Here is a 20,027-nt window from a genome sequence, read left to right as displayed (position 1 = left end):
TACCCTATGAAAATGTTTACTTATTTATCTTCTTAATAAGAATAACAAATAACAAAAATTTCGTGCTTTTATTTTTAAAAACATATCAGTACTGCGCATATAGAAAAGTGATATTATCCAAATAAATGTCAAGTTCAGTTCACTTCCTTTCACTCAACTGCCATGACACTTCCATATTTCCCTTTTATTCCAAATATCTTAAGATCCCCTTCGGGGCTTTATATTCTATTTTCTGCCACCCTGATGAGCCTTAAAAAAACCTCATTTGGATAGCTGCTTCTCTGGATCTAGACAGGATTTGAGGGGATTATATTTCCTTTCCAGATTCTTCTCCTTTTCAAATTAATGTTTCCTCTTTAAAATATATACCCTCAACCTATTCAAAGTCTTTTCTTCAGGATGGCTGTTAATAAAACGTGTCTTGTAACAACAGTGTCTATGGCCTCCCTGCAGCCAACTCAGCTCACTGAGAGGCGGCCCTCTATAGTACACTCTGATAAACTTCTTTAGTTTCCTTCTATTGTAGTACCATATTTCCTTAAAAAAAAATCAGCCGGGCGCAGAGGCTCACGCCTGTAATCCCAGCACTTTGAGAGGCCGAGGCGGGCAGATGACCTGAGGTCAGGAGTTCGAGACCAGCCTGGCCAACATGGCAAAACCCTATCTCTACCAAAAATACGAAAATTAGCCGGGCGTGGTGGCGGGTGACTGTACACCCAGCTACTCAGGAGGCTGAGGCAGGAGAATTGCTTGATCCCAGGAAGGGGAGGTTGCAGTGAGCTGAGATTGTGCCACCGCACTCCAGTCTAGGTGACACAGCAAGACTCTGTTCTCACAAGAAAAAAAAAAAAAAAAAGAAAAGAAAAAGAAAGAACATTCCAGGAATGCTCCAATTGTGTTTTTGCTGTACTTTTTGTCTTGCTTGGTGTAGATGAAGCCCTGTAGTGGATACCTGGCAGGCTTTGCCATAGTGTTTCCTTGGTCTAAGGAAGTTCAGCCTTGCACTCAAGTTCTTCACCCCTGGGGCAATTGTGAAATTGACTTTAGTAATTAAAAGTTCTCTTTTATCTTTGTTTACTCTGAATGCTTTAGAATCATTAAATACAAATATTAGAACTGTCAGTGCTCTTTAAGATAATCTACTTAGCCCACCAGTACTTTCTCTTTCTGTCTACAATTGAAAGAAAAATGAGATTTTGGAGTCTCTGTGATTACTTTGCAGAAGAAAGCTATTATGAAGAAATAGTCTAAGGAACTAACTCATGCCAGGTAAGTCAGTGTTTCTGTTCATTTGGTGATGACTAATATTGGCATTCATCTGGCTGTTGTTAAGTGTAACGATTTAAAATTATTATATTGTGTAACCAAAAGATGGCAGTACTCCCTCTTCCTGTTTGGTTTTAGGACAAAATGGAAAGGTCATTTTGTTCTTACTACATTTTTCCCTTTACTCACCACAAAATGAAAATAATGAGTAAAAGTCACATAAGCAAATAAATAAAATATATTCCCAACCTCTTTAGTACAACCCTAATTACTTGATATAGCCATATCTATGCAAAAGAATGCAAGTCATTTTCTTTTCTTTTCTTCACTTGGTTTACTTTTCTAACAGTAGATGTTTGCTTCTATTTGGAACATTTAAAACGATGGCACCAGAAACCTCCATGATCCTTCTCAAAGGAGAGAGAACATGTCAGTTTCACTGAATGGTAGTTCATGTCCATACATGCCAAGAGAATATTGGACAAAAGCAAAATGCAGCAATAGTGATAGTTTATTTTCTGGTCATTACATTTCCCAAAATTATTACTCCACTCACCCTACCCCATCTTTTCTGAGGCATCTATATTGATTTATCCTTCAAATTCCAGCAATATTTTTATTTTATTTATTTATTTTCTTGTGAGATAGGCCACTAGACAAGTAATATTCTATCTAGAATATTACAGTTACACCTAGACCAAAGCTCTGTTTAAATAGAAAACCATACAATTTGGCATTGCAAATAAATAATTTGGCACCTGATGGCACTGAACTCCCTCAAAAATAATTATTCTAATTCATTCTCTTTCAGGTGGCTACATACAAAGCAAAGTTGTGGACATCTGTGTTGACACATTGTATGTTGTAGTCAGATGGGCTTGAATTCCTGCCTAGACCTTGCTAGGCACTGTGATTTGGAGCGAGATGTGCAACTTTGGGCAAGTTTCTGCCTAAGAAAAACGAGGATAAAATATCTAATTCTCAGGCTTGTTTTGAGAATAAGGTGAAAAGATATCTATACTGTGCCTAGCAAACAGTAGGCACTCAGTCAACCTAAGCCTACTTCTTTCCTATTAAGAAGACAAACATGTACATCCACTATTACTGTCAGCTGCTCAATAGAAGAAAATAAATAGGCTATATGTCTATAAATATTCTGTTCCTTTAGGAACAAATATTTAATTGGTTTACATGTTCCACATGGACTATTGTTGAAATCATTCATTCAGCAACTTCTATAGCAGTAACTAACATTTACTGTGTGCCAGGGCCTTTCTAAATGTCTTTACACATATTAACTCCTTTTCCTCGCAGCATCACCAAGAAAAGATGCTATCATCCCTATTTTACAGCAGGAGACTTGGAGTCACAGAGCCGTTAAGTCACTTGTCTGAGGTCACACAGCTAGATGAAAATCCTAGGATTCAAATCCAAGCAGACTGCCTCTGGAGTCTGGGTTCATAACCATTATGCCATTGCACATCTCTGAAACCACCTTTGCAAAAGTTATAATAGTGAGAATACTATGGCAGTGAAAGAGATCTGACTTAACCAACTCCATCTTGCCTGTAACCTCCATTCCTGGGTGTGGGCCAAGCTAACTTTGGGAGAAATCTATCCTTAAAGCAAGGATGATAATATCCCTCCCCAAATTAAACTGCCTTAGTAAAACTAATGAAAGGCCACAAGGTTAGGGTTATGAGAAGAATCTGAGTTCTGCAAAGATGTAGGTATAGTTAAAGAATAACCAGTCATTGTTCTGGTGGTCACAAGATTTGTAACTTCTCCAATTACTCCTATAAATAACCTCTACTATTGTAGAACCTAATATTGGCCTTTGGAGATATCTTTTCAGACTTTAGCTTTTCTGATGACCAAGATGACTCCATTTGGACTTATGACTCAATGGGTCCTGTGGCCCCCACCCAGAAGCAGACTCAGGGCATGAGGACCATTTTCCACATCCCTATGATTGCATCCCCAACCATCAGCAGCACCCATTCCCTAGCCCCCTGCCCACCAAACTATCTTGAAAAAACCCTAGCCTCTGAATGTTTGGAGAGGCTGATTTGAATAATAATAAAATTCTGCTCTCCTGTTTAGCTGGCCCTATGTATCTTGAACCCTTTCTCTATTGCAATTCCCTTGTCTTGATACATTGGTTTTATCTGGGCAGCAAGTGAGAAGAACCTGTTGGGCAGCTATAGCACCAGTTTCCCTGCTGAAAAAGAAGAGGAAAAGTACATTGAAAGGATGTTTTTTTCTCCTGATGTTTGGAGAATATGAGGGACCTTTACTGTTGAGATGTTAACTCAGCAGAGAAAAAGGGGGAGTGGACAAACAAGAATGTATCTAAAAATGGTGAGGGCAGCAAAGAATTATGTCAGAACTGTTGGGAATCCCAGTACTAGGAGATCTTCCATCCTGTGGCTGTGAGTTACCGTGGATATTTCTCTTTGTTCATTAAGACATTGTAGGGACATTTAGTATTCTTCAGAAGCCTCAGCTCTCCATTTTGCCATGGCAGTTATTAGTTCCATTAAAAGGTGAAGGCTTTCAGAGTGAATGAATTCTCCTTCCCTTACAGCCAGGGAATGAGCTTCTCAGGTATAAGATAATATGGCATTGTTCCATATTCCATTCCCAACCCTGAGCTAAAGCTAGTGAAGGTGGTAGACTTTCAAGGTCATTTAGACCCAAAACATTCACTGGGGCCCTAGTTTGCATAGTCACAGGTCATCGCTCTACCCCTTTTATTACTAACTTGTGGATATGAAGCCCACCATGTTTCACCATATTCTGCCACTGCCATCCAAAATCCCAATTTTCCTGGTCTTCCAGTCCCTCCTTCTCCCAGCCCCTACTGCTGTGCTTCCCCTTGTTGTCAACCTCCTGTCTTACACTTTCCAAAGTGTTTGCTGGACTTCCTATTCCACTGTAAAATCATCCTAGCCTGCCATTTGCCTTTTAGCATTAAAAAAATTGAAAAATGTTACTTAGTCAAATGTACTGAGTTATTTTCTCAGTCTTTCCTCCCATTGTTTTTATGGTTAAGAAGTTAGTAAACCACTTTTAAAACCTCATCACCCATCTTATAGAATAGTTTTCCCCACAATAGGTAGCTTGGGTGGTTTTAAGAGCCAATAGACACCAGAGTTGTGAAATTTGCAATTCATATTTAAATTTGACACTTAGGCACTTAAGTAGGTTTTAATATTTATATAGTAGGTCTAAATATTCATATAGCCTGGTTTACATATTATATAGCAGGTCTAAATATTCATATTTAACGAGAGCAAAACTCCATCTCAAAAAAAAAATCAGATATTGTGAGACTTACTCACTACCACGAGAACAGTATGGGGGGAATTGCCCTCATGATTCAATTCTCTCCCACTGGGTCCCTCCCACAACATGTGGGAATTATGGGAGCTACAATTCAAGATATTTGGGTGGGGACACAGCCATACCATATCATTCCATCCCTGGCCCCTCCCAAATCTCATGTCCTCACATCTGAAAACCAATCATGCCTTCCCAACAGTCCCCCAAAGTCTTTTTTTTTTTTTTTTTTTTTTTGAGACGGAGTCTCGCTGTGTCTCCCAGGTTGGAGTGCAGTGGCGCGATCTCGGCTCACTGCAAGCTCCGCCTCCCAGGTTCATGCCATTCTCCTGCCTCAGCCTCCCAAGTAGCTGGGACTACAGGCGCCCGCCAACACGCCCGGCTAATTTTTTGTATTTTTAGTAGAAACGGGGTTTCACCGTGTTAGCCAAGATGGTCTCGATCTCCTGACCTCGTGATCCGCCCGTCTCGGCCTCCCAAAGTGCTAGGATTACAGGCGTGAGCCACCGCGCCCGGCCTCCCCCAAAGTCTTAACTCATTTTAGCATTAATTCAAAAGTCCACAGTCCAAAATCTCATCTGAGACAAGGCAAGTCCCTTCTGCCCATGAACCTGTAAAATCAAAAGCAAGTTAGTTACTTCCTAGATACAATGGGAGTGCAGGCATCGATAAATACACCCATACTGAATGGGAGAAATTGGCCAAAATGAAGGTGCTAAAGGCCCCATGCAAGTCTGAAATCCAGTGGGGCAGTCAAATCTTAAAGCTCTAAAATGATCTCCTTTGAATTCATGGCTCACATCCAGGTCACACTGATGCAAGAGGTGGGTTTCCATAGTCTTAGGCAGCTCCATCTCTGCAGTTATGCAGGGTACGGCCTCCCTCCCAGCTGCTTTCACAGGCTGGTGTTGAGTGTCTGTGGCTTTTCCAGGCACATAGTGCAAGTTATTGGTGGATCTATTATTCTGGGGTCTGGAGGATGGTGGCCCTCTCCTCACAGCTCCATTAGGCAGTGCTTCAGTGGGGACTCTGTGTGGGGGCTTCAACCCCACTTTTCCCTTCTGCACTGCCCTAACAGAGGTTCTCCTTGAGAGCCCCACCCCTGCAGCAAACTTCTGCCTGGACATCCAGGCATTTCCATAAATCCTCTGAAATCTAGGCAGAGGTTCCCAAACCTCCATTCTTGACTTCTACGCACCTGCAGGCTCAACACCACATGGAAGCTGCCAAGGCTTGGGGATTATACCCTCTGAAGCCATGGCCCAAGCTGTACATTGGCCTCTTTTAGCCAAGGTCAGAGCAGCTGGGATGCAGGGCACAAAGTCCCTAGGCTGCACACAGCAGGGAGGCCCTGAACCTGGCCCCAGAAAACATTTTTTCCTCCTAGGCCTCTGGGTCTGTGATGGGGGCACTGCCTCAAAGGTCTCTGACATGCCCTGGAGATATTTTCCCCATTATCCTGGAGATTAACATTTGGCTTCTTGTTACTTATGCAAATTTCTGCAGCTGGCTTGAATTTTTCCTCAGAAAATAGGAATTTGCATCATCAGGGTGCAATTTTCAAACTTTTATGCTCTGTTTCCCTTTTAAAACTGAATGCTTTTAGCAGCACCCACATCACCTCTTGAATGCTTTGCTGCTTAGAAATTTCCTCTGCTAGATACCATAAATCATCTCCCTCAAGTTCAAAGTTCCACAAATCTCTAGAGCAGGGGCAAAATGCTGCCAGTCTCTTTGCTAAAACATAGCAAGAGTCAGCTTTACTCCAGTTCCCAACAAGTTCCTCATCTCTATCTGAGACCACCTCAGCCTGGATTTCATTGTCCATATCATTATCAGAATTTTGGTCAAAGCCATTCAGCCAGTCTCTAGGAAGTTCCAAACTTTCCCACATTTTTTTGTCTTCTTCTGAGCCCTTCAAACTGTTCCAACTTCTGTCTGTTATCCAGTTCCAAAATTGCTTCCACATTTTTGGGTACCTTTATAGCAGCGCCCCACTCTACTGGTACTAATTTACTGTATTACTCCATGTTCACGCTGCTGGTAAAGACATACCCAAGATGGGTAATTTATAAAGAAAAAGAATTTTAATGGACTCAGAAGAGTTCCACATGGCTGGGAGGCCTCACAATCATGGTGGAAGGCAAAGGGCACATCTTACATGGTTGCCAATGAAAGCAAATGAGAGCCAAGCAAAAGGGGAAACCCTTTATATAAACATCAGATCTCGTGAGACTTATTCACCACCAAGAGAACAGTATGAAGGAAACTGCCCCCATGATTTAATTATCTCCCACCACGTCCCTTCCAAACACTTGGGAATTATGGGAGCTACAATTCAAGATGAGATTTGGGTGGGGACACAGCCCAACGATATCACTTATCATAAATGCTCTTCTGGAAACTTGCCATTTCCTCATCAAGAGGTGGAATGTGTCACTACTGGAAGACAATTCTCCATGGGTCCCTCACATTTCTGAATGTCTTGTGAGCATAAGTATTGGTGGCTTTTCTTCTGGATTATCTTTTCAAGGATCTTGGAAGATAGCACAGAGGGCAGGGTTGTTTGCTGTCCAGTATAATAAAGATAATGCCTCACCCTGGGGCAAAGGTCAAATAGCTTTGCTTGCAGTTTAGGGTTCCTCAGATGTGATGTAAACCCACTGTGGGCATAACATCTATTTGGGTCCATGCAAGTTGCCCCTGTGGGACTTGGTGGGCAAGGGGAACTGACACAAACCTGAAGCTCCAGCTTCCTGTTATGCTATGAGTAATAAAGTCCTTTTTCTCTGACTCAGGAGTCTCGTGTCTTCTGCTGGCACCCATGAAATAGTAACAGGCTAACTTGTTAACTTGTACAATCAGTGCAAAATCTCAGACTCTTCCCACTTCTTGCAGTTCTGGTGATGAAAATATGATTCAGAAAGAGTCATGGCTTTCTGGAAGGGGAATGAAAAAGGTCCCTGGTTAGGATAGGTGACATGAGAATAATTCCTGGGATTTGATTGTGAATGCTCTTGCCCAAGTGGTAGTGGGTAGGCAGTAAGATCTCCCACTTCTTAGCTCTTAATGAATGGTTTAGAGGCTATATGGCAAGAATTGAAACAAGTACCTTCCAAATGGTGCTTTAGTTGTTGCTCACTCTCCTCCAGGCAGGAGGAAGTGCTGGGTCACATACACCTTTCTAAGTGCACTGGGGAACTTAGGTGATGGGGTGGAGGGTAGTTAGTCAAACTTTTACGGCCGTGTTGAATACAGATACCAAGGTGATTATCATATCCAGTTCTGTAGGGGGAGGGGCATAAGTATTCACCTGATGGGGTTTGGGCAGGCTTCTCACTGGAAAAAGAAACCTAACAGGAACTTGTGGATGGTGCACTTTGTACCAAGTCAGTGTACTGTTGTTGGATCCAATTTGAGCTGAATTCTTTTCAGTGTCCCCGTGCACTCAGATAGACCATACGGTTTGTGCATCTACCAGGTAAAAGGTGTTGGGAAACCTGCAGACTTTTGAGGTCCTACAATCCTAGTGACCTCTTTGAGCTACAAGTCTCTGTGACTGACCGATTTTGCCAATTCAAATTTCTTGCAAGGAGAATCAAAGGGAGACTAACCCTGAAGAGTCAGAAGAGCTCCATAATTTCCTGTGGGGTCAACTGAGGCCTCTATCGCAAATAAATTGTAACTGGACTTCTCTGTCTGCCCAATCCTGCTTCCTCTTCCTTCTTACAAATGGTGTTCTCCAACAACCTCCAACGTAAAAATCTCAGCCTCAGGATGTGGCTTCAGCAGAGGAGGGTGGGAGGGGTTGCGAGGTTGTAGGAGTGGTGAGATGAGAGATCAGAGGAAACTGGACCTTTAGCATCAGGTGCATAACTGCAGTGTCTAAGCTCCTACCCATCGTTCTTTACTGCTTCCATTCTCCAAATACTGGCCTTAGTTTCAATAACTGGGGAACAATACCTTCAGATTACAAACTTGAAGGAATCTCTGCCCAGGATTATATTTTAAGACACAAAAGGCCTGGCATTATTAGTCATTGGCTCATTGCCTGATAAATCACTATCTTCTACATGGCAGAATGGGGAGGAGAACTGAGCTAAATTTTCAACTTTGTTGAGTAAAGAGTTGGTTGTGGATAGAGAGGAACAGAGAGGAAGTCATACTGAAGTTTCATGAAATTGAAATCAATGTTTTAGAAGCATTTTGGATGCAACTTTAATGAGGGAGATGCCAACGAGGGCAAAATAACCATGCGGCTGCTCTCCTTCACAGCGGGTGGCTGATCTTCCCTTGAGAGCCATCTAGCGATCATGTAGCTATGCCAGCAGGGGTAGCCCTTCACAGCAGACTCCAAATAACAACACACTCCTCTGAATCTCATGCATTTCATTTTTAACATAGTGTTTTGTTTTGTTTTTTGAGACAGAATCTCGCTTTGTTGCCCAGGCTGGAATGCAGTGGCGCAATCTCGGCTCACTGAAACCTCCGCCTCTCAGATTCAAGTGATTATCCTGCCTTGGCCTCCTGAGTAGCTGGGATTACAGGCACGTGCCACCGAGTCTGGCTACCTTTTTTTGTATTTTTAGTAGAGATGGCCAACCATGTTGGCCAGGCTGGTCTCGAACTCCTGACTTCAAGTGTTCTGCCTGCCTCGGTCTCCCACAGTGCTAGGATTACAGGTGTGAGCCACTATGCCCGGCCTTAACATAGTGTTTTGAAATAAGCTTTTGAAGTAAAATATTCAGGGCTGGTAGCCTTAAAGCCCTTTCTTGTATCCTTTCTACATATGTAAAACCAATACTTCAATACTTGCAATTTGCATAGAATTTTTAAAAGAGGGCTTTATGTAGCTGTGGCCAAATAATTAGGTGAACATTACTTTGTCACAAATATTGAAAAGCTGCTTAACTGCTGGCACAATTGTGAAATTGGATTTCTATTGGGACTTCAATGAAAAGACATCAATTTGTTTATTACAGTGTTACATATCTTATTTCTCCCCTCATTATTAATACTTTTTCAATAAATTTTTTTAGCTAACTATTTTGCTTGAATAAATTATCTCAAGTCAGAAAGTGGGAGAAATTGAAATGATGCTACATCAATGCAATTTGCTATCTGGGTCTTGTTTGGATAGGCAGATCCATAGTGAAGGTGCCTTTAACTTTTCTAGTAGCGGACAATAGTAGTAATGCAGTAATTACCATTCACTGAGGACTTACTCTGTTTCAGGTACTTTGCTAAGTACTTTTATATAAAAATTTAGTTTAATCCTCAATTTAACTTTATTAGGTTGGTGTTAAATTTCCATTTTACACATGCAAATATAGCAGATACAGCATCTTCGCTAGGGTGATGTGAAAACGTTTATGTAACACAATATCTACCTAGTTTATGATCAGAGCTGCATTTGTTTTCATTTTCTCTGGTGAGGAAGCAACCTACAGAGGTTTGACATTTTAAGCAACAGATCTTTGAAGAGGGTGGATGTATTTAGGGTTCAGATTGATGTTTCTCTCTAACTATAGGTATGTGAGATGCTCATTTCTTTGAACTAGAATTTAAAGTGAATACAAGTCAGCAGACATTTATTTAGCACCCAGAGTTCCAGGCATGGGGCATACAATCTCAGGATGGTGCTTTACCCTAAACCTTTTAGCTCTCACCCTCCTGATGGCCCATCCAGCCCCAGCCAGAAGTAACCACGAATCTACTTTCCGTCCCTATAGATTTGCTGAATCTGGACATTTATATAAATGGAATTATACAATATGTGCTATTTTGTGTCTGGCTTTCTTCACTTAGCATAATGTTTTCAAGGTTGGTCCATGTCATAGTGTATCAACATTTCATCCTTTTTTATGGCAGACAGTTATGGCTATACTACATTTTGTTTATTCATTTGTCTGTCGTTGGACATTTGGGTTTCAATCTTTTGGCTGAATAGTGTTTTTAAAAACATTTATGTACCAGTGCTTGTGTAGACGTATGTTTTCATTTGTCTTGGGTATCTATCTAGGAGTGGACTTGCTGGATCATATGCTAACTCTATCTTTAATTTTTTTTTTTCTTTTTGAGACAGAGCCCTACTCTGTTGCCCATACTGGAGGGCAGTGGGAGGATCTCAGTTCACTGAAGCCTCCACCCCCTAGGCTCAAGTGATCCTCTCACCTCAGCCTCCTAAGTAGCTGGTACTAAAGGTGTGTGCCACCACGCCCAGCTAATTTTTGTATTTTTTGTAGAGATGGGGTCTTACCATGTTGCCCAGGCTGGTCTCAAAATCCTGGGGTCAAGGGATCCACCGGGCTCAGCCTCCTAGAGTTCTAGGATTACAGGTGGGAGCCACCACGCCTGGCTCTTTAATTTTTTGAGGAACTGCCAAACTGTCTTCCACAATGGCTGCACCATTTTACATTTTCACCAGCAACATGTGAGGGTTCTAATTTCTCTATATCCTTGCCAACATTTGTTATTTCCTTTTTCTTTCTTTTTTTTTTTTTTTTGAGACGGAGTCTCACTCTGTTGCCCAGGCTGGAGTGCAGTAGCGCGATCTTGGCTCACTGCAAGCTCCGCCTCCTGGGTTCACGCCATTCTCCTGCCTCAGCCTCCCAAGTAGCTGCGACTACAGGCACCTGCCACCACGCCTAGCTAACTTTTTTGTATTTTTAGTAGAGACAGGGTTTCTCTGTGTTAGCCAGGATGGTCTCGATCTCCTGACCTTGTGATCCGCCTGCCTCGGCCTCCCAAAGTGTTGGGATTACAGGCGTGAGACACCATGCCTGGCCAACATTTGTCATTTTCCGTTTTTAAATTCTAGCCATCCTAGTTGGTGTGAAGTGGCATCTCATGGTTTTGATTTGCATTTCTCTTATGGCAAATGATGTTGAACATCTTTTCATGGGCTTTGCACATTTTTAAATCAGGATTTTTGTTTTGTTTTGTTTTGCAGTTGAGTTGTAGGAGTTCTGATATATTCTGGATACTAACTCCTCATAAGATAGATAATTTACCAGTGTTTTCTCTCTTTCCATGCGTTGTCTCTTCAGTCTGTTGTGTCCTTGGATGCACAGAAGTTTTAAATTTTGATGTAGTTTAATATATCTATTTTTGTTGTTGTTGTTGCTCTTGTCTATGTTTTTGGCAGGAAAGTATTGTCAAATCCAATGTCATGAAAATTTTCCCTATGTTTTCTTCTAAGAATTTTACAGTTTTAGGTCTTAAATTTAGGTCTTGAGTCCATTTTGAATTAATTTTTCTATATGACATGAGGTAAGGGTCCAACTTCATTCTTTTGCATATAGATATCCAGTTATTCCCAAGATTATTTGTTGACATACAATTCTTTCCCCCACTGAATAATCTTGGCACCTTTGTTAAAATTCAATTGACCACTGATGTATGGGTTTACTTCTGAACTCTCTATTCTATTTCATTGGTCTATATGTCTATCTTTGTGCCAGTACCACACCATCTTGGTTATCATTGCTTTGTAGTAAGTTTTGAAATCAGGAAGTGTGTCTTCCAACTTTGTTCTTCTTCAAGGTTGTTTTGGCTAGTTGGGGTCCCTTGCATATCATATGAGTTTGATGTATTCTTATTTTCCCCTGCAGTGACATTTCTACTGGTCCAATTTGATTAAGAGAGCTCTTTGCCAGAGCCACAAGGATACTGTTCTTTTAATTCACACTCATGTGCTACGGTCATTCTGCAAATACAGCACCCAAGCCTAAGTCACCTCCCTCAGGACCTTCAAGAAAGAGTCCTTTATGTTCTTTCTTGCTGACATTCATCATTTGGAATGCCTTCAACCTATTAGAGCTGTTCTAACATTGAACTCAAAAGAGAAAGGCCCAGAACCTTTCCTCCCAGGAGACTCCATAGTCTCTATGCAAATGTATCCACTGCCACCCCAGTGTCCAACTTGTTAGATAAGTTGGTCTAATGAAAAGGTATAGAAGTCACCAAAGTGATTTTGTCTATAATAGTAAACATTTTCTCTAGAGTGACTTACAGCCTTCACCTCTAAGAGGAGATACAGGCTGGGTGTGGTGGCTTACGCCCGTAATCCCAGTACTTCAGGAGGCGAAGGCAGGTGGATCACGAGGTCAAGGGATCGAGACCGTCCTGGCCAACATGGTGAAACCCCGTCTGTACTAAAAATACAAAAATTAGGTGGGCATGGGGGTGCGCGCCTGTAGTCCCAGCTATTCGGGAGGCTGAGGCAGGAGAATCGCTTGAACCTGGGAGGCAGAGGTTGCAGTGAGCCAAGATTGCCCTCCAGCCTGGCAACAGAGTGAGACTCCATCTCAAAAAAAAAATAATAATAATAAAAAAATAAAAATAAATAAATAGATAAATAAATGAGATACAACTAGCATCATTTGTAAAATTGGCTGTGTCAGCACCTTGCTACACAGGAGTGAGTCTTCCCATTCCAGAGCAAAGCATAACTTTTGTTTTAAGTCCTTCATTAAAGAGGAACTTTAATAGGATTCCTCCAGCTGTGTGCTAGAGCAGTGGTCCCCAACCTTTTTGGCACCAGGGACTGGTTTTATGGAAGACAATTTTTTCCATGGATGGGGGTTGGGGGATGGTTTCAGAATGATTCAAGTGCATTACATTTATTGTGCATTTTATTTGTATTATTATTACATTGTAGTACATAATGAAATAATTATACAACTCACCATAATGTAGAATCAGTGGGAGTCCTGAGCTTGTTTTCCTGCAATTAGGCAGTCCCATCTGGGGGTGATGGGAGGCAGTGACAGATCATCAAGCATTAGATTCTCATAAGGAGCATGCAACCTAGATCCCTCAAATGCACAGTTCACAATAGGGTTTGTGCTTCTATGAGAATCTAATGCTGCCACTGATCTTATGACTGGAGGCTGGGCTCAGGTGGTAATGCAAGCAATGGGGAGTGGCTGGAAATACAGATGAAGCCTCACTCACTCGTTTTGCCCTCTGCTCATCTCCTGCTGTGCAGCCCAGTTCCTAACAGGCCACGGACCACTACTAGTTCGTGGCCTGGGGTTAGGGACCCCTGTGCTAGAGGAAGGAAGAAGAGAGGGTGGGAGGCAGTTGTGATTCCATGAGGGGGCAGAATGGCCGCCTCCCCAGGTCTCTTACTAAGGATCTCAGATTTCACAGAATCTTGGGGGTGTTTAGTGGCAGGCAACCTTAGGAATCACCCCATCCATATTATTTCCATGTGACACTTTTCACAAACATGTGCTTCCTTTTGAGAGGCTGGGGACTTTTTGTGGAGCTGAAACTGTGTCTCCCTATAAGCCATGTTCGATTGTCTAGACAACACAGACCAGGGCAAGGGAAGGTAGGCTTAGTGAGGACAACAGCTAGTACCTAATGAGTGCTTATTAATGCTAAGCACCGTGCTATGCATTTTAAATAGTTTTTTCTTCTAATGCAACAAAATCTTACCAGTAAGTCCAGTACTACGATTATTGTCTGGATTTTACAGCAGAAGCTGTTTCCAAAAGTCACTAATAAGTTGTGGCACTTGTCTTCACCTCCATGAAGTCTCTGTGATGGTGGCTAGAGTTCCTGCTCTTACCCCAAGGGATGCTGTCCCTTAGGACACTGGGACGCTCATATTGCTCCTGGGATAGGTGTCCAAAAGGAGGAGGAAAGGACCTGAAACTTTTTTGCTTCCTCTCCCAGTTTTGCCTGGGACTTGATCTGAGGTTGTGGCAGCCTTTGGATTTCCTGATTTACCAAATATCAAAAGGTGAGGATTAAAGATAAATTAAATCCCCAGGTGAATGGAGTGAGTAGCTTCATAGACTTGAAATTTCAGAGCTCTAGTGAGTAGAACCATCTTCATGCTGAAGTTCCTTTTGGTCCTGGTGATATTGATATTTGTGCTGAGGTCTGCACCAATGCAACAAAGATTTTTAAAGTCTCAGGTGAGGTTGAGCACAGTGGCTCACACCTGCAATTCAAGCACTTTGGGAGTCCGAGGCAGGTGGATCACTTGAGTCCCGGAGTTTGAGACCAGCCTGGGCAAGGGGACAAAACCCCGTGTCTATGAAACATACAAAAATTTGCTGGGCAAGGTGGTGCATTGCCTGTGGTCCCAGCTACTCAGAAGGCTGAGGTGGGAGGATTGCTTGCACCTGGGAGGTTGAAGCGGCAGTGGGCCATAATCATACTACTGCACTCCAGCCTGGGTGACAGTGAGATCTTGTCTCAAAAAAAAAAAAAAAGTCTCAGGTGAAATATCCGGATAGGGAGGTAAAAACAGCTGTTGTTCCAAGACAGTCTAAGCTGTGCTATTTGCCAGGCATGATTTTCTGTATGCGTGTTGTCTGCCCTTTCCCGATAGATGTATTTGAATCCTTGCCCCTTTCTCTGTTTGTGTTACTTTTCTTCCCTGTGATGTTTCTCTATAACTGGTCTTTGTTGTTTGTTTGTTTGTTTTTTTGTTTTTGAGACGGAGTCTTGCTCTGTCGCCCAGGCTGGAGTGCAGTGGCGCAATCTCGGCTCACTGCCAACCTCTGCCTCCCGGGTTCAAGTGATTCTTCTGCCTCAGCCTCCCAAGTAGCTGGGATTACAGGCGTGTGCCACCACGCCTGGCTAATTTCTGTATTTTTACCAGAGACAGCGTTTCACCATGTTGGCCAGGTTGGTCTCGAACACCTGACCTCGGGTGATCCACCCACCTTGGCCTCCCAAAGTGCTGGGATTACAGACGTGAGCCACCGCACCCAGCCCCTCTATAACTGGTCTTAATATAAAAACAAAACATATTTTAATTTATATAATCATTTACTATGTATATTTCTTGCTATTAATATAAAAGGCAGGCAAGTAGAAGATTTTAAACTTTTTCTTTTAAAAATAAAACTTCTTTTTAAAAAGAAGCAGAAAAACAAAACCAGGTGGCTTGTAACTTTTTCTCTTTCTCTTCCTGTGGATTAATAATTGTTGATTTTAAAAAAAGTTCTCCAGCCCTACTTTAAGAGACAATTAGGCCTAAGTTGTTTTCTTCTTTCACGTCATACCTGAGAGAAGCACTGAGGGGGAGATTGTTAGTACCTGTTAATTAGTCTCAATATTTAGAATAATACTTTTTTTGTTGTTTTTTTCAGACGGAGTCTTGCTCTGTTGCCCAGGCTGGAGTGCAGTGGCGCGATCTTGGCTCACTGCAAACTCCACCTCCCGGGTTTAGGCGATTCTCCTGCCTCAGCCCCCCGAGCAGCTGGGATTACAGACACTTGCCACCTTGCCCAGCTAATTTTTGTATTTTTGTTAGAGAGGGGGTTTCACCATGTTGGCTAGGCTGGTCTTGAACTCTTGACCTCAAGTGTTCCACCCGCCTCGGCCTTCCAAAGTGCTGGGATTACAGGCGTTAGCCTCTGTGCCCGGAAGAATAATTCTTAAACAGAATATCTGAAAACAAAACCCCCAGATAGTGAAAAAGCTTTTAAATATACAAACTTGAGGAGTCTACAATTCTACTTGATTAAGAGAAAAAAATAACCATTAAAAAAAATTTAGGAACATGCATTATTCGATTTTATTAATACAATTAATAGCTGTCCTATCTGATTTAGCTCCTACATAGAATAAGTTATATATTTTTTTCTGAGTGTTTCACTACTCAGCATTCACTATTGAGACTTTTCCTATTGAATTTGGAATAAAAAGTCTAGAACATTTGGATGTACACAAATGTTGTTTCCAAGTACTTCGAAGTGTATCCTACTCTGTTTTCTGTCTCTGTCGTTTAAAAAAAATTATGTTTATTTTACTGTGGTAAGAACACCTAATATGAGAGCTGCCATTTTAATAGTTTTTTTTTCTTTTTTTGAGACAGAGTCTCGCTCTGTCGCCAGGCTGGAGTGCAGTGGCGCGATCTTGGCTCACTGCAACCTCTGCCTCCCGGGTTCAAGTGATTCTGCCGCAGCCTCCCAAGTAGCTGGGACTACAGGCACCCAACACCACGCCCAGCTAATTTTTGTATTTTTAGTAGAGATGGGGTTTCACCATGTTGGCCAGGATGATCTCGATCTCTTGACCTCGTGATCCACCCACCTCAGCCTCCCAAAGTGCTGGGATTACAGGCGTGAGCTACCACGCCTGGCCAGTTTTTTCTTTTACTGTGGTGTCTGTCTCATTTTGGCATCAAGATAATGCTGGCTTCATAAAATGAGTTTGGAAGTGTTTTCTATTGTCCATCATTTTGTTGTTAACCTTTCTAATTTAGTATATACAAGAAGAACAATGCAAAAAATCGTACTGATGCTGAAAGTTACTAAGTAAAACCTGCTAAAATGGCACCTGGGTACTGTTGCCATGGGGACAGGCTAGGAGAGGAATGAATGTAGCTTGAATTCTTAGAAAGACAATATTGAGTTGCTCTTCAGTAAACTTGTGATGAAAATACCTTAAATGTGGGCACTTGGTTGCTATTTTTTAACAAAAACAAACAAAAAGTGGCAGCAGCATTAACAAGGACAAAGAACATCACCAAAATCCTAAATCAAATAACTTCAGCTCAGTTGACCTTTGATTTGTGTGCACTTGTTCCTTATGATAATTACCTAAGTTCTTCTGCAAAGCAGTGAGCCTGGGGGCCATGACATCTAACGTGGTTGCAAATTAAACCCTCACTCCCAACCCAGCCTCCTCAGCTTCTGTCTCTGAAGAAAATACGGGATTTACCTAACATCTCTTCAAATAGTGTATATTGAACTGGAAGACAAAAAAGGAATTTTGCATGTTAAGCTGCAGCTGGCATAAGAAACACATTCATTCTATCAGAAAATTGGGTAATCTGGATTATAGTCCTGGCTTTGGCACTGCCATTGGCATAGCAATGTATTTGTGTGTGTGTGTGTGTGTGTGTGTGTGGCGGGGCGGGGGGGCAATTTATAAGTATCTGCAGTTCTCAGCCTCCACCTTCCAAGGAGGAAGGGTGCTTTGTACAGACTGGAGTTGTATTATGCATATCCCTGAAAGGATGAAGTTGAGAGAGTTGGATGGAGCTGAAAATGCCAAAACAATTTACATTTGAAAGAAACAAATACAATATTCCTCAGAGAGGACCGGTTCTGAACAGATGAAAGGAGGAATAAAAAAAGAAACCAAACCAAATGAAGCTGATTTGGAGAGATGGAAAAGTATAGGGAAGAAAGGACTTTTTTTCTTTTTCTTTTCTTTTCTTTTCTTTTTTTTTTTTAAAGACAGGGGCTTGCTCTGTTGCCCAAGCTGGAGTGCAGTGGCATGATCTTGGCTCATTGCAACCTCCGCCTTCTGGGCTCAAGTGATCCTTCCACCTCAGCCTCCTGAGTACCTGGGATTACAGGCGCAGGCCACTAGGCCCGGCTAATTTTTGCATTTTTATAGGACAGGGTTTCGTCATGTTGCCCAGGCTGGTCTCAAACTCCTGGGCTCAAACATTCACCCGCCTTGGCCTCTGAAAGTGCTGGGATTACAGGCATGAGCCACTGCTCCTGGTGGAGAATTTCTTTAAGTTTACATACAGTGGAATGCACCCATTATAAATGTACTATCTGATGAGTTTTGACAATCGTACTGTTAAAATCATGGGAGGCCACTATTTTAGTCTGAACTCCTGTGCTAGGCCCCAACAGACCAGACCAAACCAAAATAGAGTCACTTATGCTAAATGCCACATAATCAAACTGAAACTTCAAGGAAGCAAGCAGATAGATCCCCAAACAGACCAGTTTTTCCTGAGAACAGGAGATTCCAGTCTACCTGAGTCAGCATAATAAGGCAGTCTCTCTGCTTTAACCTTTAGAAAAAAAGTAATGTGATATTAATCAGTGCTATTGTTCTGTTTCCTTGTTTTCATCTTACAAACCCCAGTGTTCTTCCTTAGCTCGGTGGGAGCTCTCATCCTATTTTGTAGAACGGAGGCTGTCCCAATTCACAAGTTTTGAACAAAGCTAAACAGCTTTATAACCAAATTTGTTATAATTTTGTCTGTTGACAGTATACAGCTATGTAATTACTACTGTGACTAAGATGAGCATTTCTGTCACTTCACAAAAGTTCCCTTCTGCCCAGTCTTCTTTCTGTCACTAAAGGTTAGATTTGTCTTTTCTCATTTCATATTAATAGAATCACACAGTATGTACTATTTTGTGGCTTCTTTTGCTCATTGTAATATTTTTGAGATTCATCTGTGTATCAGTAATTTGGTCCTTTTCATTGCTGATGTGTTTATTGCAGGGATATATACAACTTGTTTATCTATTCATCTACTGATAAACATTTGAGTTGTTTTCTGTTTGGGACTATTATGGCTAACGCTATGATCATTAGTATACAGATTCTTGGACATCAATTTTTATTTCTCTTAAAGAAAATACTTAAAACTGCAATAGGGCTGGGCGTGGTGGCTCACGCCTGTAATCTCAGCACTTTAGGAGGCTGAGGCGGGTGATCACCTGAGGTCAGGAGTTCAAGACCAGTCTGTCCAACAAGATGAAACCCCGTCTCTACTAAAAATACAAAAAATTACCCAGGCATGGTGGTGGGCGCCTGTAGTGCCAGCTACTTGGTAGGCTGAGGCAGGAGAATTGCTTGAACCAGGGAGGCGGAGGTTGCAGTGAGCTGAGATTGCGCCACTGCTCTCCAGCCTGGGTAATAAGAGTGAAACTCCATCTCAAAAAAACAAAACAAAACAATACTGCAATAGCTAGGTTACATGGTAAGTGTATGTTTGACTTTATAAGAAATTGCCAAGCTATTTTCCTGAGTGGTTATACTGCTTTGCATACTCCCCAGCAATGTATAAAAGTTTTGATTGCCTTAAAGCCTCTTCAATACTTGGTATTTTCAAGCTTCTTTTTATTGTTCTTGTTTTGTGAGAGGGAGTCTCGCTCTGCTGCCCAGGCTGGAGGGCAGTGTCGTGATCTTGGCTCACTGCAACCTCCGCCTCCTGGGTTTAAGCGATTCTCCTGCCTCAGCCTCCCAAGTAGCTGGGACTACAGGTGCGCACCACCACGCCTGGCTAATTTTTGTATTTTTAGTAGAGACAGGGTTTCACCATTTTGGCCAGGTTGGTCTCAAACTCCTGACCTCAAGTGATCTGCCCGCCTTGACCTCCCAAAGTGCTGGAATTACAGGTATAAGCTACCGCGCCCGGCCCTCAAGCTTCTAATTTTAGACATTCCAGTGGGTGTATAGAGGTATCTCCTGTGGTTTCAATTTGCTTTCCCTAAGGATTAATGACTTTGTGCACCACTGCCTGTGCTTATTTGATATTTGTATAGCTTCTTTGTTGAAATGTTTTTTTTTACCCATTTTAAATTGGGTTATTTATTATTTTATTATTAAGTTGTAAGAATTATTCATATATTTTCAATATTAGTCTGTCAGATACTGCAAATATTTCCTCTCAGTCTATGGCTGGCTTT

The 20,027-nt window shown here is 41.9% G+C and overlaps 2 annotated features.

The window, feature by feature from the left end:
• Positions 1,227 to 1,336: a silencer, noted in NCBI's record as "silent region_9276". NCBI's record gives its function as "represses an Ori minimal core promoter by ATAC-STARR-seq in GM12878 lymphoblastoid cells {active_cell/tissue: GM12878}" and the evidence as "EXISTENCE:reporter gene assay evidence [ECO:0000049][PMID:35858748]".
• Positions 19,563 to 19,710: a silencer, noted in NCBI's record as "fragment chr18:9037094-9037241 (GRCh37/hg19 assembly coordinates)". NCBI's record gives its function as "represses an EF-1alpha promoter that drives an FKBP-Casp9 reporter gene in an ReSE screen in HepG2 liver carcinoma cells {active_cell/tissue: HepG2}" and the evidence as "EXISTENCE:reporter gene assay evidence [ECO:0000049][PMID:32094911]".

The sequence above is a fragment of the Homo sapiens genome, chromosome 18 (assembly GCF_000001405.40).
Source record: "Homo sapiens chromosome 18, GRCh38.p14 Primary Assembly".
In the NCBI taxonomy this organism is placed as follows: domain Eukaryota; kingdom Metazoa; phylum Chordata; class Mammalia; order Primates; family Hominidae; genus Homo; species Homo sapiens.
Note: the sequence above shows the minus strand (reverse complement) of the source record. Positions and strands in the feature narration are given on the sequence as shown.